The sequence below is a fragment of the Homo sapiens genome, chromosome 17, assembly GCF_000001405.40.
Source record: "Homo sapiens chromosome 17, GRCh38.p14 Primary Assembly".
Taxonomy (NCBI): Eukaryota; Metazoa; Chordata; class Mammalia; order Primates; family Hominidae; genus Homo; species Homo sapiens.
In genome coordinates, this window is record NC_000017.11 from 67,366,363 (window position 1) to 67,390,228 (window position 23,866).

Sequence of the window (23,866 nt, forward strand, 5' to 3'; positions counted from 1 at the left end):
CGTGACTCAGCCCCTGGCGCCCGCCAACAGCCAGCCGGCCTCTCCTCACCTTGGCTAGCTTCGCACACTCGGGTAGGCGCTGATCCACCGTGGCGCTGTAGTCCACCTCCATCTTGACGATGCGCCCGTCAGCCCGCTCCGAGCCGCCGTCCGCCATGGTCCCCGCCTGAGCGTCCCTTGCTGTCCCCCTGCTTCGGCCACCACTCGTCACCCACACCGGAAGTTGCCCGCGCACCCGCTCAGGCAGCCCATCGGGAGCCCACGCAAAGGACCCCTCGAGGTCCCCGGCGCTGGTTGCCACTCAGGCACTGCCGCGGACAGCCTGGGGGTGGGGCTTGAGGCGCGCGGGGCGGGACTCGCCACTCCAGCCTGCAGCGTCAGGTTTTGTCTCTGGGAACATCAGACTTTTTACCTAAAATTTGCGATGAGAAAAGCGAGTGTAATAGAACAGACCATCTCATATATCCCTACACCCCTGCTTCGAAATATGATTTCTCAGGACCGTGGCCAGTCGCTTTTCTTGGATCTCGGTTTTCTCATCTCTACATCAGGAGGCTAAAATAAACCTTAAAATAGAAAATTCTAAGGTTTTATCTACTTGAGAATCTTGGTGGCTTACTCTGTGGGATCTCTGAAAGCTCCTAAGAGAAGATATGGCAGCAGCTCAGTCATTTAATAAGCAAAGTGGTTTTTCTCTTTGTTTTCATTTTCACTGTAATCCACTAAGTTGGTAAAAAGAAAAGTTAAAAAGACATATTTGTTATCCCTATAGGATTTTCGTGAGCATCAAACTAGATGACATGTGAGACAATTTCAATTCTTAAGGGCCTTACACGTTTTATGTGTTATCATTCATACCATGCTGGTCCCTAGAAAATAGCTTGAGATCTTAAAAAAGCTTAGGATCCTTGAAAATGGGAATGAGGCCGGGCGCGGTGGCTCACGCCTGTAATCCCAGCCCTTTGGGAGGCTGAGGCGGGCGGATCATGAGGTCAGGAGATCGAGACCATCGTGGCTAACACGGTGAAACCCCGTCTCTACTAAAAATACAAAAAATTAGCCGGGCGTGGTGGCGGGCACCTGTAGTCCCAACTACTCGGGAGGCTGAGGCAGGAGAATGGCGTGAACCCAGGAGGCGAAGCTTGCAGTGAGCCGGCGAGATTGCGCCACTGCACTCCAGCCTGGGCGACAGAGCAAGACTCCGTCTCAAAAAAAAAAAAAAAAAAGAAAAAGAAAAGTAAAGAAAATGGGAATGAGGTTGTGTTTGGTGTGGGCATATGGTCAACAGCAGCCTGGAAAGCAAACAGGAAAACGGGAAATCTTGGAGTGGTTTATCTATTATGTTAGTGGTTCTCAATTTAATTAGTGCCGACATCGCTTTATAGATGCTGAATAGATCTCTTTGTTTGTTTTAACTGCAATGAAAATCAGGGAAAATATAAACCATCTACAAGCAAAATAAGACAATATCTCAGCTATAATCTGTAATGTAGAGGAGAAACAAATTTTACCTTTTTTTTATTTTTGTAGAGATAGCAGCTATACTACGTAGCCCAGGCTGGTCTCAAACACCTGGCCTCAAGCAGTCCTCTCACCTTGGCCTCCTAAAGTGCTGAGATTACAGGTGTGAGCCACTGTGCCCAACCAAGAAACAAATTTTAAAATAGCAAAATAATATATATTTCAAGAGATAAGGGCTAAAACATGTCTACAGTGGAAAATACAAGGAAGTAGTTATTTACACCCATACACAATAACTATAAATGTAAAAGCTGCAACTGCAACAGGTGTGTTCTCTTGGTTCCTGAAGCATGGTAAGGGCCTATTGTTGGTGACATTTTCCAAAATGGTGAGCAACAAGCCACTTCTTGGTAAAGCTCTTATTGTTTTTTTTTTATTTTATAGTCCATCAGATGGGTCTTATGGCTCATGCCTATAATCCCAGCACTTCGGGATGCTGAGGTGGGTGGATCACTTGAGGCCAGTAGTTCAAGACCAGCCTGACCAACATGGCGAAACCCCGTCTGTACTAAAAATGCAAAAATTAGCCAGTCGTCATGGCACGCACCTGTAATCCCAGCTTCTCGGGAGGCTGAGGCAGGAGAATTGCTTGAACCCGGGAGGTGGAGGTTGCAGTAAGCCAAGATTGCGCCACTGCACTCCAACCTGGGTGACAGACGAGACCCTGTCTCAAAATAAATAAATAAATAAACAAAGAAACTTTATAATCCATGACACGCTGAAATAAAGTTCTGACTATATCAACATATAATCTTCCATTGTTTTTCTCATGGAAGAATTCTTAGAAATTTTAGTTGATGTTAAAAGTGAAAGAAAAGTAGCTTGTCGTAAGTAAAATTGACTTAGAGTCTAGGCCTCAGACACAGAAGAAAGTGTCTGGTAGGACATTCAAAAGTCTGATGGAATGTGGGACAATATTTTATTGTGTGGGCTTGTTGCCTGGCAGGCTGTTTAGCATTGCAATTACATGCTGGTGTCTCCCTCTTCCCTCTGTGATTGTCACAACCCAAATTCCCCTGCAGGCTTCTAAAACACACTCTAGAGGCTGGTACTGTTGAGACACACTAGGCTAAGATGCCTTTTCACTACATATTCTGTGTGACATTGGTTTGATGAGAGTAGACAACAGGATCTGGAAGTGTAAATTTGTTTTTTGTTAAAAAAAATCTTTTTGGAGACATAGTCTTGTTCTGTTGCCCAAGCTGGAGTGCAGTGGCAAGATCAGGGCTCACTGCAGCCCTGACGGCCTAAGCTCAGGTGATTCTTCTGCCTCAGCCTCCCAAGTAGCTGAGACTACTCAGCTATTGGTTTTTGTTTGTTTGTTTGTTTTTTGAGACGGAGTCACGCTCTGCCACCCAGGCTGGAGTACAGTGGTGTGATCTCGGCTCACTGCAACATTTGCCTCCTGGGTTCAAGTGATTCCCCTGCCTCAGCCTCCTAAGTAGCTGGGACTACAGGCGTGCACCACCACACCTAATCAATTTTTGTATTTTTAGTAGAGACTGGGTTTCACCATGTTGGCCAGGCTGGTCTCAAACTCCTGACCTCAAGTGATCCGCCTGCCTTGGCCTTCCAAAGTGCTGGGATTACAGGTCTGAGCCACTGTGCCCGGCCCTCAGCTATTGTTTTATTATTTATGTATTTATTTATTTATTTTTGGCAGAGATGGGGGAGGTCTCACTGTGTTGCCCAGGCGAGTCTTGAACTCCTGGCCTCAAGCGAGCCTCCTGCCTCTTCGAAAGTGCTGGGATTACAGGCATGAGCCACAGCGCCCAGCTGAAGGTCTAAATTTAGAGTGAAGAGTTTGAGAAGACAAAAAGTAACAAAGGTGTGATGGAGTAGACAGATTTATGATTTCCTGAACTCAAAAATAAAGGGAAGGGTCTAAGAAGGGGCAAATAGGAGGGGGAGAAAAGTAGTTGACTCCCAAACCAAACTGAAGCCCTTCCTTGCTGAGCTTAGAGGTAAAAGAAAATGAAAGCAAGTTGAGATCCTAAGAAAACAAGAGATTAAAGTTAAATAAATAAAGAGGAACTCAGAAGTCTGAGCAATAGTCAGAAAAAAATAGGTGAGAGTACTGTATTACAGACAGATACTTTATATGAATTCTTTATTTGGGTGAGTCTGAGATTAAATCTGTGGCTTTGCAAGAAAGAAGTTGATTTCAGAAGAGAAAAATTGGCAGTGTAGGAATATCTAAAAGGCAAGGGAGAAATGCTGATTGCGAAGAGGAGTTTATTCAGAAAGAACAGTAATATTATGATACTCATTATTAGAAATAATGTGCCCCTATATTAATTACTATGTTGGGTACTTTTTTTTATTTTTTTATTTTTTTGAGACAGTCTCGCTCTGTCGCTAATGCTGGAGTGCAGTGGCTTACTCGGCTCACTGCAAGCTCCGCCTCCCGGGTTCACACCATTCTCCTGCCTCAGCCTCCCGAGTAGCTCGGACTACAGGTGCCCCCCACCAGGCCCGGCTAATTTTTTTTTGGATTTTTAGTAAAGACAGGGTTTCACTGTGTTAGCCAGGATGGTCTCGATCTCCTGACCTCATGATCCGCCCGCCTCGGCCTCCCAAAGTGCTGGGATTACAGGCGTGAGCCACCGTGCCCTGCCTGGTATTTTTTTTATAGTTGGCATTCCTGGTACATCCATCTTATTAGTCGTGCACATAATTGTCCTAAAGATCCTGCCTTTGGGAAGTGAACATTCTTTTTCTTTTTTGAAAGAGTCTTGCTCTGTCGCCCAGACTGGAGTGCAGTGGCATGACCTCAGCTCACTGTAGCCACCACCTCCTGGGTTCAAGTGATTCTCCAGCCTCAGCCTCCCAAGTAGCTGGGACTATAGGTGTGTACCACCATGCTGGCTAATTTTTGTATTTTTTCAGTAGAGATGGGTTTCGCCATATTGGCCAGGCTGGTCTCAAACTCTTGACCTTAGGTGATCTGCCCACCTCGGCCTCCCAAAGTGCTGGGATTACAGGCCTGTGCCACCACGCCCAGCTATGGAAAGTCAATGTTCTATAATGGGGAGAAGACAGAAAATAAATATGTAAATATGCGTGTGGGTAGGGCAGGAGGTGTGATAAGCATTTGGGAAGTAGTCAGGGAGGGAATCACTAGTAAGCCAAGAACAGAAGGGAGCCAGGCTTGCAGGTATCTGGGGGATGAAGATTCAGGCAGAGGCTACCACGGGTGAGAGAACCCTGAGATGAGAGCAATCAGATCACATCTGGCCTGTTTGAAGAACAAGGAGGTCAGAGTGACAAGAGCAGAATGAGTGAGGGCGAATGTCCTAGGAAATGAGGTTTAGGGCAACTTGGCCATTATAGGGGTTGGTGTTTTCGGTTTCTACTTTTTTAGAGAAGGAGGCCTCGCTATGTTGCCCAGGCTGGTGTTGAACCCCTGGGCTGAGGCGATCCTTCTGCCTTCATCTCCCAAGTAGCTGGCCTCTTAAGTAGCTCAGATTACAGGCACGAGCTATAGGACTTGGGTTTTTGTTTTTTTGTTTTTGTTTTGAGATGGGGTCTCGCTCTGTCACACAGGCTGGAGTGCAGTGGCATAATCACAGCTCATTGCAGCCTCGACCTCCCAGGCTCAAGTGATCCTCCCACCTCAGCCTCCAGAGTAGCTGGGACTATAGGCGCATCCACGACACCTGGCTAATTTTTTTGTTTTTTGTAGAAACAGGGTCTCACTGTGTTGCCCAGGCTGGTCTTGAACTTCTGGACTCAAGTGATCCTCCCACCTAAGCCTCCCAAAGTGTTGGGATTACAAGCATAAGCCACCTCAACTGGCCAGGACTTGGCTTTTAATCCTAGTGAGATGAGAAGCTATTGGGGGTTTTGGGCAAGGAAGTGGCATGAGCTGACTTACATATTAAAAGAATCATTCTTGCTGCTGTGTGGTGACTAGATTGGGCAGAAGTTAGGAGACAGTTGAGAGGTTTTTGCAATAATCCAGAAGGAAAATGATGGTGATTTGAACTAAGATCAAGGTGGTAAACTGGGTGTGGTGGCTCATGCCTGTAATCCCAGAACTTTGGGAGGCTAAGCCAGGTGGATCACCTGAGGCCAGGAGTTCGAGACCAGCCTGGCAAACATGGCGAAACCACGTCTCTATTAAAAATACAAAAATTAGCCGGGCGCAGTGGCACGTGCCTGTAGTCCCAGCTACTCAGGAGGCTGAGGCAGGAGAATCGCTTGAACCTGAGAGGCAGAGGTTGCAGTGAGCCGAGATTGCACTACTGCACTCCATCCTGGACAACAGAGCAAGACTCCGTCTCAAAAATAAATAAATACATTAATTAATTAAAAAAAAAGAGAGAGAGGAGCTCAGTTTTGGATAAATTTGAGGTGACTGTCAGATATCCAAGTGACAAGAAGGCAAGTTGGTGTTCAAGTTTCAAGTTAAGAGGTGTCATTTGGGCCTAAGATTTGAATTTGGGTGAGGTGCAGTGGTTCACGCCTGTAATCCCAGCTAAGGCAGGAGGATCTCTTGAGGCCGGGAGTTCAAGACCAGCCTGGACAACATGTCAAGACCCTGTTTCTACAAAATATGTTAAAAATTAGCTGGGTGTGGTATGTCTGTTATCCTAGCTACTCAGGAGGCTGAGGTGGGAGGATCCTTTGAGCCCAGGAGTTTGAGGCTGCAGTGAGCTATGATCATGCCACTGTCCCCTGTGGCTAATTTTTGTATTTTTTCTAGTAGAGACGGTGTTTCACCGTGTTGACCAGGCTGGTCTCGAACTCCTGACCTCAAGTGATCTGCCTGCCTTGGCCTCCCAAAGTGCTGGGATTACAGGTGTGAGCCACCGCACTGGCCAATTTATTGCTATCTTACTTATTTAAAAAAGAAACTATACCTTTGGCCACAGAACCTCCAGTTTTTTTTCTATGTGAAGCAATTTGTAACACATCATTGTCAATTCACTTTTATTTTATGGGCATTTACTGCAAAAATACAAGCAATTCCACATCAAAGACATTGTCTATATTTAACAGAGGCCTGATAGATGGGTGGGTCTATACATAAGAATTGCCTTGGGACTTCCTCTGTGTCATTAAGAAAGAATTTAACATTAGCTTAGTAACCAAACAAGATCAAATATACAGGTATTTAAACACAAACACACACACAAACACTTAGCCTTTGTTGGAATTAAGCAAGTAATATTTAATAAAACAAAAATTAATTGTAGGCTGGGCACAGTGGTTCACACTATACCCAGCACTTTGGGAGGCCAAGGTAGTTGGATCGCTTGAGCTCAAAAGTTTCAGACCAGCCTGGATAACATGGCAGAATGCCATCTCTACAAAAGAAATACAAAAATTGCCTGGCATGGTGGCATGTGCCTGTAGTCCCGGCTACTTGGGAGGCTGAGGCCAGAAGATCACTTGAACCTGGGAGGTGGAGGTTGCAGTGAGCTGATATCATGCTGCTCCACAGAAGCCTGGGTGACAGAGTGAGACCCTGTCTCAAAAAAAAAAAAAAGAAAAAAAATGCAAGAATAACATTTGATTTTTAAAATGTTATAAAAAAGAGGCCATGTTGGCCGGGCACCGTGGGTCACGCCTGTAATCCCAGCACTCTGGGAGGCCGAGGCGGGTGGATCACCTGAGGTCAGGAGTTCGCGACCAGCTGGCCAACACGGTGAAACCCCGTCTCTACTAAAAATACAAATAATTAGCCGGGCGTGGTGGCGGATGCCTGTAATCCCAGCTACTTGGGAGGCTGAGGCAGGAGAATCGCATAAACCTGGGAGGCGTAGGTTGCAGTGAGCTGAGATCAAGCCATTGCACTCTAGCCTGGGTGACAGAGCAAGACTCCGGCTCAAAAAAAAAAAAACCAAAAAACAAAAAACAAAAAGAGGCCATGTCAAAAGCACATAGGAGCCAACCAGAAAGAGCTCCCAACAGCCAATGCTGGAACTGTCTGAGCAGCAAAATAAATAACATAATGTTGATTATAACTTGAAGTATAGAATAAATAAGCACAAATCCACACAGATATATATATATATATATATATATATATATATATATATATATTTGAATAAATATATATAGAGAAGGGACAAATCTTTTTTTTTTTTTTTTGAGATGGAGTCTTGTTCTGTCACCCAGGCTGGAGTGCAGTGGCATGATTTCGGCTCACTGCAACCTCCGCCTCCCAGATTCAAGCAATTCTCCTGCCTCAGCCTCCCAAGTAGCTGGGACTACAGGCGCGAGCCACCACGCCTAGCTACTTTTTGTATTTTTAGTAGAGACGGGGTTTCACCATATTGGCGAGGGTGGTCTCGAACTTCTGATCTCAAGTGATTCGCCCACTTCGGCCTCCCAAAGTGTTGGGATTACAGGCGTGAGCCACCATGCCCGGCCTTCATTTTTTAATCGTCAGAAATTCCTGTTAGTACACTTTTCTTTCAGAGGCTGTTTACAGAGGTGGGTCAAGACCTTATTAGTTTTTTCACACAGACATGGAGGATTAAAGAGATCATCAGAATGCCTCGAAGAGAATAGGTTGACAGTCTTCTTAGATTATCTTGGTGTGCCATACCCCCTCCTGCGTTTTGAGAACCCCTGCTTTCAGAGACTGTCACTTATCTGAGAACAGATGCTGTCACAGACATGCACAGCCTCATATTCTTTTCCTCTTTGTCTTATCATTCCTCTCTGGTAACTTTACTGTTTTGTTCCTCTTTTTGCCTTTTGTGTCCCACCCCCATTTAAAAAAATGTGATGATCAGCCACGGCAGATTGTACATTGTTAATGGAACATCATGACTGTCCATAATGATGATAGCAACAGCTTCAAGGCTCTTCGTAAGTAGATATTGCGACTTCATTGGTTGAGAAGAAACAAAGATACAATTCTTGCCAGACACTTGCTGAGGACAGGACTTAAAACCACAGTGCTTGGCCAGTAGATGGCGCGCCCCGCCCTCAGTGTGCATGACTTATGAATGAATATGCCCTCCCTATGCCCTGCACCAGCCCCTCCCGCCTCTGCTAGCCCCTCCAGCTCACTGCTATCAGAACCACTGTCTGAAGCGCAGATTGCCAAGGCCTGGCTTTAAAATGGTGTCATGGGGATTGAATTGGGGAGAGGGATTCTCTGTGAAGGCAACGGGTTGAACAGCAGAAGGGTTGAGCTAGAAAGGTGGCCGGGGAGGAGGGGCTTTTGCAGCCAACTGACTCGTCTCATTTGGCTGGAGTTGGGCTGGGAAGGGTAATGGACTAATGTGGGAAAGGTAGATCCAGAGCCTTGAACCTCCTACCAAAGCATTTTGACTTGCTCAGTAGGCCATAGAGAAGCCCTAAAAGGTTTTTATATATTTTTAAATTTTAGAGACAGGGTTTCAGCATGTTTCCCAGGCTGGTCTTGAACTCCTGGGCTCATGCGATCGGCCCACCTCCCCTCCCAAAGTGCTGGGATTACAGGGGTGAGCCACCGAGCCCAGCCAGGAATCACTAAAAGGTTTGAAGGTGGCAGGATGAGAGCTGTACTTGCACAAGATTAATATGACCAGGTTTGCGGATGCAATGAATGAAAAGAAAATGAGAATCCAATGGAGAAGTCACCTTACAACAGGAGGGGTGGGCTGGGCGCGGTGGCTCACACCTGTAATCCCAGCACTTTGGGAGGCCGAGGCCATCACCTGAGCTCAGGAGTTTGAGACCAGCCTGACCAACATGGTGAAACTCCATCTCTACTAAAAATACAAAATTAGCCAGGCGTGGTGGCCGGTGCCTGTAATCCCAGCTACTCCAGAGGCTGAGGCAGAAGACTTGCTTGAACCCGGGAGGTGGAGGTTGCAGTGAGCCGAGATCATGCCATTGCACTCCAGCCTGGGCAACAAGAGCGAAACTCCATCACAAACCAATAACAGCAACAAGACGGATGATGGAGGAAGCATATATGTGACAATTTACAGTTCGGGAAATTCAGAGAAGTAGCTCCTCAACAGTGTCACCCGTCAGTAGAATACTTCCTTCCAGAATCAGTGTCAGGAAATGTCCAGGAAGCCAGGAACTGAGCCTACACATCCCGATGTCCCAAGTGCATGCGCATGTGTGGCTAGCCAATCCCTTGCCTTCCTGCCTCTGGGAAGATTATTAGGTCTTCCATTTGTTTTCAAGTAAGAAGCAAAAAAAAAAAAAAAAAAAGGAAAAACAGCTTGAGTTTCTTTCCATATCACAGCCTTCCAATGTGTTATTATTCAACACTGCAGTGTCAGATTTAGATTTTCCACCTCGAGGAATTTGGTTTAGCTTTAATTAGTTGCTGTGAATATTTCTGAGCCAACTCTGGAAAGCATTTATCTGGAAAATAGTTTCCACTAAAATATAAGCTGGATATAGGGTATCATTTTCCTAGGAGGGTTTGTATCAGTTAACAGTTATAAATTCTCTCCAGCCCTCTGGATGACTTTTGCCACAAGCCCATCATCGTCATATTGGTTAATTACTTATTAATTAAACACAATTCAAAATACTGTATTGAGGCATCTGCATCGCCATCTAAGCTCTAGCTTCAGGACTTCAGAGCGTGAAGATTTTTCGGAGAAAAGATAACGCTTACAGGTTATTCTCATACAGGCAACTGATGCATTTTTCATCCGGCAACTTTTCATAAAAACAAGCTGAAAAATACCAGACAAATGAAAAACAGACTTCAGCAGTTCCATGCTGCTTCCTGAGTAACTGAAGAATGTGCTTCTTGTGGTTAAAATGAGAGATCTGTTTAATATGGATCAAATAGCAACACTCCAGGCATTTTCATTGACATTTCACTGTGACTTTTTGAACTTAGGAGTGCGGATACGAAAACCTACTCTTTCTTTCTGCTGCGCGGAGCCTGCACAATCTGCAGAAAGATTGCAGAGCCGGGCCAGGCGAGGTAACAGGCTACGTGGGGTTCATGTTCTCTCTGGTTGTTCCCTCCCCGTTTGTACTTCATTTCCATTCACACGGCTGCACTTCCCAGTTTTCCAGGATCTCTCCTCTGAAACCAGGCAAGGGTTTGTTCCCAAATCCCACCCATTGCCTCTCCAGCCCCAGACTTGCTTACTGGACCACACATAGGTGGTGGGCATTGGTGACTTGTCCCTAGGGTCAGGGGACCAGAAACTTCCCAGAGGGGCTGGATGGAGCACGGCAGCACTCAGGGCACAATGGAGAGCGGATTCAAAGGGCAAAGGAGCCGAGGAAAGCCCCTCTGCCCGAGCCTCCCCAGCGCCGGCCGGGCTCCGCTCCGGAGCAGCCCCGCCGTCTGGCAGAGACATGCTGTTTTGTTTAAATCCTCCACATTCTTTGCCATTTCCCCATTGGCCGGATGGGGCTACCCTCCCCGCCGCGGCCGCTGCTGATGTCAGCCTCGCTCGCGCTCGCTCCTCCCGCACCCACCTCCCGGCCCCAGGCACACTGCATCGGCGCGGACGCTCCGGCCCCGGCGAGGTGGCTGCAAACTCGCGGGCACGCACGGCGCCCGGGGAGCCGAGGGACTCGGGGGAGGGGACGCGCGCGGAAGGCGCCAGCTTCCTCCCGCCCGCCCCTGGCAGCCGCGAGCCGAGGTTGGAGGCGCCCGGGGCCCCAGCCGGGCAGAGCCGAGCGGCGGCGGCGGCGGCGGCTTCCCTTTTCTCCCCGAGCCGAGCCCCGGAGCGGCGCGGGGACCGGCCCTAAAAAGAGCAGGAAATCTTGTTTACCGCCCGCGGAGAGAAGCCGATCGAGCCTTTGTCTGGAAAGTCAGCATCTCCGGCTCCGGCTGCAATGTGTTCCTGGTGACATTAGCATCGGGCAGACCCGCCGGAGGAGGGGGGTCGCCAGGTTCCCGTCTGCTTTCGGAGGCGGATCGAGCGGGTGACTTTTGTGCATTCGTTTTAATTTTTGGAAATCTCTCTTTTTTCCTCCCTCGCTCGCTGCCGGGCATGTCCTGATCTGGCGGCCGCTCCTACCACCCTGGGCAGCCGAGCAGAGTCGTCCCCAGCGGGTCTCCCTCCCTGCCTCCCTGACTTTGCAACACCGCGTTCCGGGAGGACCGGCCTCGGCGAGGGAGGAGGCGGGGGAGCTGCGAACACCCAGACCCAAACCCTGACATGCTCTGGGGCGGAGAGGAGGAAGCCAGGAGCTGAGCGCGCCGCGGGGGCTGCTTCGCCCTCCGGCTCCGAGCGCCGGGCTCCGGGCGCCCTGCCCTGCGCCTGGGCAGCAGCCTTGCTGGTCTTGGGGGCGCCCCCCGCTTCCCGCCCCGGGGGTCCGCGGCCGGCAGGACCATGCTGCTGAAAGAGTACCGGATCTGCATGCCGCTCACCGTAGACGAGGTAAGCGCCGCGCCCGGCCCGGCCTCGCCCGCTCCGGGACCCCCGCCGCTACCGCCGCCTCCTGGCCGGCGAGCCCCGGGCGAGCGGCAGGAAACCCAGGTGGACGTTACCCCGCAAACCCGAAGCCTGGAGGAGAGGAGGGAGGGGATTTGCGGCTTCCACTTGTCACCCCAGCGGGGGAGGGCGGCGCTGGGTGGGGCGGCGGACTCCGGGTGGGCTTTTCGGGGGCGCCCAGAATCCAGACTGTTGGGGATCACTATGAGCCAAAGGGAGTGGGTGCGCCCCCTCCCTCCAAATAAGAAAATGAATAAACCAAACCCAAGAGCCCCCGGCGCGCGCTGTAGCTGGGGTTTGGGGGGCATCCCGTCCTGGCCGTGGGCCCAGCCTCCCCTCCCCGCCCTCTGCGGTCAGGTAGGGGTGCGAGGAGGAGCCCTGCGCCCTCGGGATCTGCACGCCCCGAGCCCCGCGGGAGGAACCTCTGAGCCCTTAGGGGAGGTCCCTGCGGGGCCCGACTTCTCGCCGTCGCCGCGGGCTTGGGCGCAGCTCCCGGCACGTCCGCCCTTCGAGGCTCGGGACCCGGCTGTGTCCTTTCGCAAACCGCCTGGCTCGGAAACTTTCTGCGTCTCTTGTTTCTTCCGCCGCGGGGAGCGGCGCGCGAGCCGGGAGCGGCGGGGGCTGCGACGCGGCCACAGGAGGGCGCTCCAGCACGTGGTGCCGGGGCCGCGGCTGCCGGCTGGGGGCGCCGGGCGCGGGGCGGGGGCTCGTCCTCCAAGCGCGGCTCTGCTGTCCTTCTCCCGATCCTGCGAAGCCGCGAGCTCCAGTATTCAGGAAGTGGTGACTCAGATAGGATTATTCCGGCCCCGGCTTCCCTTTCTTCCCCTTCTTCCTCCCCACCTTTGTGGTGATTCCACGACTGCTGAGCGTCTCTGTCCAGGGACAGCGAGGGAGCCCAAAGCCAAGCAAGGCAACGTGAAACTCACTAGTGTGGTTTGGTGTGGCAACACACATGAAATCAGCCACCCAGACCGTCTTTATATTTAAATCTGGTGCCTCGAAACTATCAGATATGTTTTTGAGCCACTACTTGGTGAGAGGGGCGATGTGCTTTGGGAGAGAAAAAGATGCATAACTGAGAACATGGCTGAGCTCACAGGGGCTGTCCGTATTTGCCATCTGGACCAAGGGTTAAGGTAAGACCCAAGTACAATCCAAGACAAGATCAAAGTAGCTGCAAGTTTACAAAACGCATCACGGGGACACAGGCTGCCAAGGAGGGAGAGATCAGCTTCCACCAGAATGAACAACCGAGTTTTGGAGTTCGTTGGCATTTGAGGAGGTAGCATTTAAGCAGGGTCTGGAAGGGTGGATGCCAGGTGGGTAGACAGAGATTCGAGTTGCATATGACCTTGTAAGTGGAGAAGCAGGACATAGCTTTGTGGAGAAAGAGAAGGGCAAATGAATGGGACTGGTTAATAGGAGTCTTTCCAGAAAAGGTGGAGATTGTCCCACCTTGTGGGCAGTTGAGCTAGAGTAATTCAGCTGGGAGGCATGGATCCCTCTACTCCATATCCTAATGACCTTGTTTTTTGATATGAGTTTGGATTCTAGGAGCAATGTTGGGACTGCATGAAATACACAGAAAATTGCAGGTGATAATCAAGAAAAGAACCAGTTCTAGAATCTTCTCTACTAACTACAAAATCTCTTTATCCTAGTTGGTTCCCTTTTCAGGCTTTCTGAAACACTCAGGCAGATGCTTTTCCCACTTTTGTTTTTGTACCGAAATACCCACAGGTATACCGTGGGGTAATTACATTTGAATGATATAGGTGGAGGCCCTTCCTTCCTTCCTTCCTTTTTTTTGTCTTTTCTTTTCTTTTTTTTTTTTTTGAGATGGAGCCTTGTTATGTTGCCCAGGGTGGGGCGCAATGGCGAGATCTCGGCTCACTGCAACCTCCGCCACCTGGATTCAAGCAATTCTCCTGCCTCAGCCTCCTGAGTAGCTGAGATTACAGGTGCCTGCCACCACGTCTGGCTAATTTTTGTATTTTTAGTAGAGACGGGGTTTCACCATGTTGGCCAGGCTGGTCTTGAATGCCTGACCTCAGGCAATCCGCCTGCCTCAGCCTCCCAAAGTGCTGGGATTACAGGCATGAGCCACTGCGCCCAGCCAGCCCTTCCTTTCTTAATTGGCCAACAAAATCAGACTCATCAGACTCCACCTGTAATATAATTATAAATTCTTTAATGTATAATTCATTTTGGCCAAAGTATGATTCAGTTTCTGTAAGGTTCATATTCTGAAGTCATTTTCGGCTTTGTCAGAGAAGCAGGAGGGCAATTTAGATTAATAGATGTTTCCAATTAGTAGGATTCAGATTAGCTAAATCTGATGATGGATGAAGAAATGAGGCCTAGTTTGCCAGATGTTAAACCCCTAGAGTCAGAACTGATAGTAAATTCCACAGTCTCCACCATCCCCTTTTCCACTGACCCTTTTTCCACATTGAAAATGAGGAAGCAACTTGAGTTTCTTTAAATAAGATGTTTAGGTAAACTTTGGAAGCCTAACTTTTTTTTTTTCTTTTTGAGACACGGTCTCGCTCTGTCATCCAGGCTGGAGTGCAGTGGCGTGATCCTAGTTCACTGCAGCCTCCATCTCCTGGGCTCAAGTGATCCTCCCATCTCAGCCTCCTGAGTAGCTGGGACAATAGGTGTGTGCTGCCAACCCGGCTAATTTTTTTACTTTTTGTAGAGACAGGGACTCGCTGTGTTGCCCAGGCTGGTCTTGAACTCCTGAGCTTGAGTGATCCTCCTGCCTCAGCCTTTTAAAGTGCTGGGATTGCCGGGTGCGGTGGCTCACGCCTGTAATCCCAGCACTTGGGGAGGCTGAGGTGGGCAGATCACGAGGTCAGGAGATCGAGACCATCCTGGCTAACACAGTGAAACCCCGTCTCTACTAAAAATACAAAAAAATTAAGCAGGCCTGGTGGCGGGCGCCTGTAGTCCTAGCTACTTGGGACGCTGAGGCAGTAGAATGGCGTGAACCTGGGAGGCGGAGCTTGCAGTGAGCTGAGATCACGCCACTGCACTCCAGCCTGGGCGACAGAACAAGACTCCACTCAAAAAAAAAAAAAAAAAAAAGGGCTGGGATTACAGGCATGAGCCACTGCGCCCGGCCTGGGAGCCTAACTTTTGCTTCCACTCTTGGTTGGCTCTGGGCCTGATTCAACCTACATGGAACTTCTGGAACTTGTTTCTCTCTCTTTTTTTTTTTTTTTTGAGACGGAATCTCCCTCTGTCTCCCAGGCTGGAGCGCAGTGGTGCAATCTCAGCTCACTGCAAGGTCCACCTCCCGGGTTCACGCGAGTCTCCTGCCTCAGCCTCCCGAGTAGCTGGGACTACAGGCGCCAGCCACCGCACCCTGCTAATTTTTTGTATTTTTAGTAGAGACGGGGTTTCACCGTGTTAGCCAGGATGGTCTCAATCTCCTGACCTCGCGATCCGCCCGCCTTGGCCTCCCAAAGGCGTGAGCCACCGCGCCCGGCCTACTTGTTTCTCTTTAATCACCAGAGTTCATTGGTAGCAGTGTCCATACTTTTGAAAATGAAGCAAATGCTCATGCTTTGAAGAATCAGTGAGAGAACCCACACTTTGCCTGCTTCTTGTGCCTGGCCTTATCCCTTCTCCCTCATTTAACACTCTGGTGGTGGCGGGCGGTGGAGCATTAGTGGCACTGGTGTGTTATTATCTATATTTTGCAGATGAATACATTGAGATTCAGAAGGGTTAGGTAATGTGCTCCAGGCCACACAACTAGTTAATAGCCAAGCCAGAAGGAGAGCATGGTGAAACCCATTATTTGTTTTTCCTTACTCTGCTTTTTGCCTGTCACTAGTGTTTAATCCAGCAAAAGGAAAAACATTTCTTGAAAACAGATAAAGTCAGCACTATCAAGTAAATGAAAAATCAGAGGCCTTTTGACTTGCTATAGACGGTACTGGCCTCTACTATTTCTCTAGCTTTATTTTAACACATAAAATGTTCTCTAGTTCCAGGAAAAAAGAACAGCTCTGGGCGATCAAGAAAATAAAGCTGAACTACTGTCTAGATTAGAGTGTTGGTGGGGTTTTTTGGTGTGTGTGTGTGTGTGTGTGTGTGTGTGTGTGTTTTAGACATTAATTTCAGAGTAAAGAATTAATAAAAGTAACATTCCATAGATTAATTTTAATTAAAACATTTCATTGGAATAGTCCCTCGTTTGTGTTAAATGTGGTGGTCTCTGAACTCAATATAAGCCTGTTGGAAAGGTATGAACAGGAAAAGTTCCTGAGAGCTGAGAGTTGCTATAGAGAGAAAGTTGTCATTATCTTCATTTGAAACATTTGGTAGACGTAGATGTAGATTCTAGAGTTTTTGTTTGTTTGTTTCTTTTTCTGAGCCACACTCTCTCGCTCTGTCGCCCAGGCTGGAGTGCAGTGGGATGATTTCGGCTCACTGCGACCTCCACCGCCCGGTTTCAAGCAAGTCTCCTGCCTCAGCCTCCCGAGTAGCTGGGATTACAGGCGCCCACCATCACGCCAGGCTAATTTTTTGTATTTTTAGTAGAGAAGGGGTTTCACCATGTTGGTCAGGCTTGTCTCGAACTCCTGACCTCAGGCGATCCGCCCACTTTGGGCTCCCAAAGTGCTGGGATTACAGGCATGAGCCACTGCCCCCGGATGATTCTAGAGTTTTAGACTTAGAAGGCGTATTGGAGATGATTTATAATTGAGCCATTTATTTATTTATTTATTTGTTTGTTTATTTTTGAGATGGAGTCTTGCTCTTTCACCCAGGCTGGAGTGCAGTGGCGCAATCTTGGCTCACTGAAACCTCTGCCTCCCGAGTTCAAGAGATTCTCCTGCCTCAGCCTCCAGAATAGCTGGGATTTACAGGCTTGTACCACCCCAGCCAGCTAATTTTTGTGTTTTTAGTAGAGATGGGGTTTCACCATGTTGGTCAGGCTGGTCTCGAACTCCTGAGAGTTCATGCCCGGTGAGCCATTTCATTTTATAATGAAGTCTAGACCTGTAGTAGGTGCAGTTAAGTTGTCTACCTCATTGACAAACTCTAGGCTAGAACCAGGTCTGATTTAAGGCTCAAGGCTGTTCTACTATATGGAATTCTCCCTCCTCTGAGATTCCTTGGTGGAAGAAAATATTCTCCTGAGGACCCATGTGTAAAGCAGGTACACTGGCTCTACTCTCTAGTTGAAGGTGGCTGGGGACTCCAACCTTGTGTCTGCTTAGCGGGACACATAGGGTAGCCCCATTGGAACCTATTGGAAGGGTGGCCCACCTCCTCCCGCAGCCACTCGGTCCCAGTGAGCGACCTGCTCACCAAGGAGGCTCCTTGGAGCACAGTCTGAAGATCACCCTGCACCTGCCACCCTCGCCACAGAGGTACTTGTTAGTAAAATGAGCGTCTCTCAAGAGACGCTAAGCACATCCTAATATTATCTAAGGCAGGAATCCTTTTGTTTTCATTGCTTTCTTTACTGTTTAACCGTTCTGGCCAGGCGCGGTGGCTCATGCCTGTAATCCCAGCACTTTGGGAGGCTGAGGCGGGTGGATCACCTGAGGTCGGGAGTTTGAGACCAGCCTGACTAACATGAGAAACCCCGTCTCTACTAAAAATACAAAATTAGCCAGGCGTGGTGGCGCATGCCTGTAATCCCAGGTACTTGGGAGGGTGAGGCAGGAGAATTACTTGAACCAGGGAGGTGGAGGTTGTGGTGAGCTGAGATCGCACCATCGCACTCCAGCCTGGGCAACAAGAGCAAAACTCTGTCTCAAAAAAACAAAAACAAACGAACAAACAAACCAAAAACCAGTTCTTGTTTAACAGTTCCTGTTCTGACTGCATTCACATAAATGTGTATACTTTTAGGGATTGATTTGTGGTCTCTAGGGATATGGTGCACAATGCAGAAAAATAGAAACACTCCCCTCCCCTCCGAGAAAAGAGAAGGAAAGGAAAGAAAAGAAAAACAACTTTTTCATACAGAATATTATTTTCTTTTTTGCCCTGGCAGGGAGCCAGTGCACTTCATCCAGGCACCCCCAGGGTCCCCAGAGAGTTTTCTTGCGCACATTTCTGAGAACGGATTTGGGATCAGGGTGGTGCTGCCTCTGGAATGACATGAATGGAAATGCCAAAATGCCCAACAGTGTTCCTTGTTCTCTTTTTTTTTTTTTTTGAGACGGAGTCTCGCTCTTTCGCCCAGGCCAGAGTGCAGTGGCGCGATCTCGGCTCACTGCAAGCTCCGCCTCCCGGGTTCACGCCATTCTCCTGCCTCAGCTTCCCGAGTATCTGGGATTACAGGCGCCCGCCACTGCGCCCAGCTGATTTTTTGTATTTTTAGTAGAGACGGGGTTTCACCCTTTTAACCAGGATGGTCTCGATCTCCTGACCTCGTGATCTGCCCGCCTCGGCCTCCCAAAGTGCTGGGATTACAGGCATGAGCCACTGCGCCGGGCCTTGTTCTCAGTTTTAAACCATTTTCCTGAAATGCATCTGCAAACATATCAAGGCAGAAATTATTGAAAGGAAGAGATTTTAAGTTTGCTGCTGGCGTCAATACCTCTGAATATAAAGGATAAAGACTCCTTGGATTAATCTCACAGACTTTCCCCAAGGTTTCTTGTAAATGTAATTTGGAAAATGTTTTCCTTGTCTGGTATAAAAATTTTATTCTGAATAAGATAATTCTATAAAAAGTTTTCTCAAGAACGAGCACAATTTTGAGAGGTTGTTTTATTTTATTTTAAATTTTCTGTTGAGAAGGGACCAAGGTCAGGGTCATGCGTGTGATTTCTGTGTGATCCAGGTGGTTTCCTTGGTGGCTTGTTCTGGGAGGTGAAGCCAGTTGGACTTCTTGGTCCGGTGGGGACTTGGAGAACTTTTCTGTCTTACAAGAGGATTGTAAAATGCACCAATCAGCGCTCTGTAGCTAGCTAGAGATTTCTAAAATACGCTAATCAGCAGGCTGCAAAAACGCACCAATCAGGTCTCTGTGGCTAGCTAGCGGTTTCTAAAATGCGCTAATCAGCACTCTGCAAAAACGCACCAATCAGCTCTCTGTGGCTAGCTAGAGGTTTGTAAAATGGACCAATCAGTGCTCAGTAAAATGCACCAATCAGTGCTCTGTAAAATGGAGCAATCAGCACTCTGTAAAATGGACCAATCAGCAGGACATGGGCGGGGACAAATAAGGGAATAATGGCTGACCACCCCTCCCCCCTCCCCTCCCCCCAGGCACCTTCCAGGCTGTGGAAGCTTTGCTCTTTTGCTGTTCACTCTTTTGCTGTTCACACTAAATCTTCCTGCTGTCCGCTCTTTGGTCCGCACCACCTTTAAGAGCTGTAACACTCACCGTGAAGGTCCGCGGCTTCATTCTTGAAGTGAGCGAGACCAAGAACCCACCGGAAGGAACCATCTCCGGACACAGTTCCACAGCCAGGGGACAGTGGAGGTTTGGCTAGCTGTCTGGCAAAGCTCCGGTTTTTTTTTTTGTCATAACGGGCACAGGGAAAGGAGGGCGGGTAAATAGATTTGTGCAAACCTTTCAACACTAATGGAACAGACAAGGAGCAGATGCTGTCCTCCTGGCTGGTCAGTGAAATTGACTCTGTCCATGAAGGAAGCTGCATTTTCCCAGTGACTTGGGTGGAAGTACCTGGCGCAGGAGATAGATACAGGGATCAGGGAAGCAAACTGTTGTTAACAAAACCCTGGTTAAAAGTAGGTAGTAATTAACTTTTGCTTTTTCTTATTGTGATATGGAGGAAGTTCCTAAGGCTCTTGAAAGTCAATTTAGAAACCTTGTGTCTGATTGCGTGAGTGTGACTGATACTCCAAAGCAAAGCGAGTAATATTCATTTCAGTAAGGCTGTCGTTTCAGGCGAATGGAGAATATTATTTATTGTAGGCATTAAAAGAAATTAATATACTTTATTTATTTTGAGACGGAGTTTTGCTCTTGTCGCCCAGGCTGGAGTGCAGTGGCGCTATCGCGGCTCACTGCAACCTCCGCCTCCCAGGTTTCAAGGGGTTCTCCTGCCTCAGCCTCCCGACTAGCTGGGATTACAGGCGCCTGCCAGCATGTCCAGCTAATTTTTGTATTTTTAGTAGAGTCGGGGTTTCACCATGTTGTCCAGGCTGGTCTCGAACTCCTGACCTCAGGTGATCCACCCGCCTCGGCCTCTCAGAGTGCTGGGATTACAGGTGTGAGCCACTGCGCCCCGCCTAAACTAAATTAATATAGTTTAAACATTCAACCTCTTTAAGAGCTTCCCCTCTCCTAGGGATGTGTAGGTATGAGATGGGGAGTGGGGAATCACAACGTTTTGGGTTTTTAAAAATGTGAAAGTGTATGCACAAAGGCAGTAAATGTGTTTTTCAGAAGCAGTAATTACTGGAAAAGTACATCTAGGTTCATTGCTTTAGCGGCCTGAGTGAGATCGCAGCACCCTGGCTGGCTTGTGTGGGCTTTGGCCTGTTTTCTGTTGCCTGGAGGTCTGTAGTGTTAGGCAAGTCTGAAAACTAGGTAACACTTTTGCCCTGTATCAGAGAAACAGACTGAGTTCTAGAAATCAGCTAACTTGTACTGAGAAGGTTTTATGTATCTTTAACAAATTCAGCCCACCGGGAGAGGAAAAGGAGAATTTCAGACTAGAAATCAGGAATTTTGTATATTCCCAAGTGAAGATTTTTCTTGTAGGTTACAAGGAGGATGAGGCGCAAATATATTACAAATATTAAAACGGACAAACCAATCGTATCTGGAAAATGTAGAGTTGTCTGGAAAAATAATCTTGGAAACTTTACTTTTTGTACTATGCAACCTCTAATTTACAAATAACATCCAAATCATTCAAACGAACAGCGTCGCAGGGCTGCACACCGCCAGGGGGCGCCATTTACATGGGACCCAGTGGGAGTAGAGCAGTGTGATGGCCTGCAACTGACCAACCTGCCTTTTACTGCCCTTTCATGCTCCCAGCCCCTGCTGCTCTCCTGGGTTAGAAATTGAAAGTTTATACCAAACTCATGGGTTTACAAGTGGAAACATCACACCCTTAGCATCGTCTTTCCTGAACACTCCATCTACAATAGCTTTTTCCTCATCTAAATCTCTGGCCAGGCACAGCGGCTCACGCCTGTAATCCCAGCACTTTGGGGTGCCGAGGCAGACGGGTCACTTGAGGTCGGGAGTTTAAGATCAGCCTGGCCAACGTGATGAAACCCCATCTCTACTAAAAACACAAAAATTAGCTGGGCATGGTGGTGGGCGCCTGTAATCCCAGCTACTCGGGAGGCCAACGCAGGAGAATTGCTTGAACCCGGGAGGTGGAAGTTGCAGTGAGCTGAGATCGAGGCTGCACTCCAGCCTGGCTGACAGAGCGAAACTCTGTCTCAAAATAAAATATAAAATAAAATAATCTTTTCCTTAATATTCTCGCTATTTATATCCTCTATTATCTGCCTCTCCACGCCTGTTTATTCCTTCAGAGCATTTATCGCAATTTGTACTTATTTTGTTTAATTGTTTGTTGTCTATCGCCATCATTATCTTTTCAACATGTAATCCACATGAGAAAATACTGATACAATCTTTTCACTTATTTTTTTCACACTAAGTCTTTGAAATCAGGTGTGTATTTTCCGTGGACACGCATCTCAGTTTCACTGGCCGCTCTGCAGTGCTCAAGGACCATGTGTGGCTTGTGGCTGCCATACTGGACAGTGCAGGTCTGGTGCTTAAACTTAGGGTCCACACATAGTAAATACTTGCTGAATGAATGGATAGGAAGAAGCTGAGGAAAACAGGAACTTTTTAAGGAACCCTGATCCTCTATGTCCTCCTGTAAAAGGTTTAAAATTTTTTCACTTGTATACTGCCTGAAATTTTACCAATTAGAGATTCTTTTGTATTTAATACATCCTCATTAAAAAATTTCTTAGTGATACCCCTGAGAAGTTTGAAATCAGTCACATATATTTAGGAGTTATTGCCGTCAGACTGCTTTCCTCCCAATTCCCGGAGGAGTATGTATATTAGTTTTCGTTTCTTTTTTTCGTGTTTTTTTTTTTTTTTCCCTTGGAGTCTTGCTCTTGTTGCCCAGGCTGGAGTGCAGTTCTTTCAGCTCACTGCAACCTCTGCCTCCTGGTTTCAAGTGATTCTCCTGCCTCAGCCTCCCGAGTAGCTGGGATTACAGGTGCCCACCACCACGCCCGGCTAATTTTTGTATTTTTAGTAGAGACGAGGTTTCTCCATGTTGGCCAGGCTGGCCTTGAACTCCTGACCTAGTGATCCACCTGTCTTGGCCTCTCAAAGTGTTGGGATTACAGGCATGAGCCACTGCACCCGGCCTCTTTTGTTTTTTACTCTGAGACATAGTCTTGCTCTGTCACCCAGGCTGGAGTGCAGTGTGCATGATCTCGACTCACTGCAACCTCCACCTCTCGGGTTCAAGCAATCCTCCCGCCTCAGCTTTCTTAGTAGCTGAGACTACAGACTAGCACCACCACACCTGGCTGGTCTTGTATTTTTAGTAGAGACAGGGTTTCACCATGTAGGCCAGGCTGGTCTCGAACTCCTGACCTCCGGTGATCCACCCGCCTCGGCCTCCCAAAGTGAGCCACCGCGCCTGGCAGTATATTAGTTTTCTATTGCTGTGTTACAAATGATCACAAACTCAGTGGCTTACAATAACACCCATTTATTAGCACACAAATTCTGTGGGTCAGAAGTCTAGGTGCAGCATGGCTGGATTCTCTGCTCAGGGTCTCATAAAGCTGACATCAAGGCGTCAGTCAGGCTGCCTTTCTTTCTGGAGCTTGGAGTTGTCTTCAGGGTTCACATGGTTGTTGGCAGAATGCAGTTCCTTACTGCATCCATCAGTTAGAGGCTCGATCCCAGAGGCCACCTGCCGTGTCCTGCCATGTGGCCCTCTCCACAACATGGCAGTTTGCTCTTGCAAGGCTAGCAGGAGCTTCTACTGCAACTTCAGATCTCTCCGACTTGCTGTCTCTGACTTCTTGATTCTTTTCCAAAAGGGCTCACCAATCAGTGGGAATCTTGGGGGCCATTCTGCCTCTCCTAGGGAGATTAGCTGAATTAGAGAAGTAGTTATTTCTTGAATCTGGAAAACAGGGCTATGGAAGTTCCAGGCTGGCATCATGAAAACATCCATTCACAGATACTTTATTGAACTCCTGCTCTGTGCCGGGTGCTAGGCCTGCAGCGGCTGACAGGGCAGGTAGATCCCTGCCCTCCTGAAGCTCCTAGGCCAGAGGACACTGGAGAGGTTTTATTGCCATTTAAAAATAGATGATGGCCATAGTTGCACAAGTCTGTAAGTGTATTAAGAACCATTGAATTGGTATGTAAAGTACATCTCAGTAAAGCTGTTTTTTGTTTTGTTGTTGTTGTTGTTGTTGTTGTTTTTGAGATGGAGTCTCACTCTGTTGCCCAGGCTAGAGTGCTATGGCGCAATCTCGGCTCACTGCACCCTCCGCTTCCTGGGTTCAAGCAATTCTCCTGCCTCAGTCTCCCGAGTAGCTGGGACTACAGGCACGTGCCACCACGCCCGGCTAATTGTTTGTATTTTTAGTAGAGACGGGGTTTCACTGTGGTAGCCAGGATGGTCTCGAACTCCTGACCTCGTGATCCACCCACCTCGGCCTCCCAAAGTGCTGGGATTACAGACGCGAGCCACCGTGCCCGGCCAAAGCTGTTTTTTTAGAAATAGAAGTGCTTACAGATTTGTTTGAGCAGAATAGATACCCATGTTCAGAGAGAGAGAGAGAGAGCCATTGAGAGGCAGAGAGTGCCGAATGTGAATTCTGTGTAAATTGAAAAGTTACGGTCCCCGTCCATAAGGAGATGGCTCTGGTTGTCTTGAATTTAGACAGCTTTCCAGAGGAGGAGGTTCTCTCCTGCAGCAGTGTGGGAAAAAAATCTACCAGATTTGGACCAG

The 23,866-nt window shown here is 48.2% G+C and overlaps 2 protein-coding genes and 1 long non-coding RNA gene across 8 annotated transcripts in view, besides 9 other annotated features; 1 reads left to right on the plus strand and 2 right to left on the minus strand.

Annotated features, from left to right (window-relative positions):
* Window positions 1–215, minus strand: part of PSMD12 (proteasome 26S subunit, non-ATPase 12) — a 28,662-nt gene extending 28,447 nt beyond the window's left edge. For all 4 annotated transcript variants that reach the window (NM_174871.4, NM_002816.5, NM_001316341.2 and 1 more), the window contains exon 1: window positions 50–215. In NM_174871.4, the coding sequence (NP_777360.1) occupies window positions 50–157 (108 nt within the window). In that variant the 5' untranslated portion in view covers window positions 158–215. The remainder of the gene's footprint in view (window positions 1–49) is intronic.
* Window positions 31–90: an enhancer, noted in NCBI's record as "active region_12621". NCBI's record gives its function as "activates an Ori minimal core promoter by ATAC-STARR-seq in GM12878 lymphoblastoid cells {active_cell/tissue: GM12878}" and the evidence as "EXISTENCE:reporter gene assay evidence [ECO:0000049][PMID:35858748]".
* Window positions 111–420: an enhancer, noted in NCBI's record as "active region_12622". NCBI's record gives its function as "activates an Ori minimal core promoter by ATAC-STARR-seq in GM12878 lymphoblastoid cells {active_cell/tissue: GM12878}" and the evidence as "EXISTENCE:reporter gene assay evidence [ECO:0000049][PMID:35858748]".
* Window positions 8,483–8,562: a silencer, noted in NCBI's record as "silent region_8869". NCBI's record gives its function as "represses an Ori minimal core promoter by ATAC-STARR-seq in GM12878 lymphoblastoid cells {active_cell/tissue: GM12878}" and the evidence as "EXISTENCE:reporter gene assay evidence [ECO:0000049][PMID:35858748]".
* Window positions 10,725–11,418: an enhancer, noted in NCBI's record as "NANOG-H3K27ac-H3K4me1 hESC enhancer chr17:65373203-65373896 (GRCh37/hg19 assembly coordinates)". NCBI's record gives its function as "activates a minimal SCP1, AML or CMV promoter by ChIP-STARR-seq in naive H9 embryonic stem cells {active_cell/tissue: H9 hESC(naive)}" and the evidence as "EXISTENCE:reporter gene assay evidence [ECO:0000049][PMID:30033119]".
* Window positions 10,804–10,923: a silencer, noted in NCBI's record as "silent region_8870". NCBI's record gives its function as "represses an Ori minimal core promoter by ATAC-STARR-seq in GM12878 lymphoblastoid cells {active_cell/tissue: GM12878}" and the evidence as "EXISTENCE:reporter gene assay evidence [ECO:0000049][PMID:35858748]".
* Window positions 10,919–23,866, plus strand: part of PITPNC1 (phosphatidylinositol transfer protein cytoplasmic 1) — a 319,976-nt gene continuing 307,028 nt past the window's right edge. For both annotated transcript variants that reach the window (NM_181671.3, NM_012417.4), the window contains exon 1: window positions 10,919–11,840. In NM_181671.3, the coding sequence (NP_858057.1) occupies window positions 11,793–11,840 (48 nt within the window). In that variant the 5' untranslated portion in view covers window positions 10,919–11,792. The remainder of the gene's footprint in view (window positions 11,841–23,866) is intronic.
* Window positions 10,974–11,223: a silencer, noted in NCBI's record as "silent region_8871". NCBI's record gives its function as "represses an Ori minimal core promoter by ATAC-STARR-seq in GM12878 lymphoblastoid cells {active_cell/tissue: GM12878}" and the evidence as "EXISTENCE:reporter gene assay evidence [ECO:0000049][PMID:35858748]".
* Window positions 11,574–11,993: a silencer, noted in NCBI's record as "silent region_8872". NCBI's record gives its function as "represses an Ori minimal core promoter by ATAC-STARR-seq in GM12878 lymphoblastoid cells {active_cell/tissue: GM12878}" and the evidence as "EXISTENCE:reporter gene assay evidence [ECO:0000049][PMID:35858748]".
* Window positions 12,004–12,303: a silencer, noted in NCBI's record as "silent region_8873". NCBI's record gives its function as "represses an Ori minimal core promoter by ATAC-STARR-seq in GM12878 lymphoblastoid cells {active_cell/tissue: GM12878}" and the evidence as "EXISTENCE:reporter gene assay evidence [ECO:0000049][PMID:35858748]".
* Window positions 12,414–12,773: a silencer, noted in NCBI's record as "silent region_8874". NCBI's record gives its function as "represses an Ori minimal core promoter by ATAC-STARR-seq in GM12878 lymphoblastoid cells {active_cell/tissue: GM12878}" and the evidence as "EXISTENCE:reporter gene assay evidence [ECO:0000049][PMID:35858748]".
* On the minus strand, window positions 18,624–19,372 carry LOC124904047 (uncharacterized). Of its 2 annotated transcripts, none has more exons than XR_007065884.1 (2): window positions 19,258–19,372; window positions 18,624–18,788 (listed from the first exon to the last, which is right to left on the minus strand). It is a non-coding gene; the product is annotated as an uncharacterized LOC124904047 (long non-coding RNA). The 2 variants fall into 2 exon arrangements; XR_007065882.1 differs by having other exon boundaries at window positions 18,624–18,792.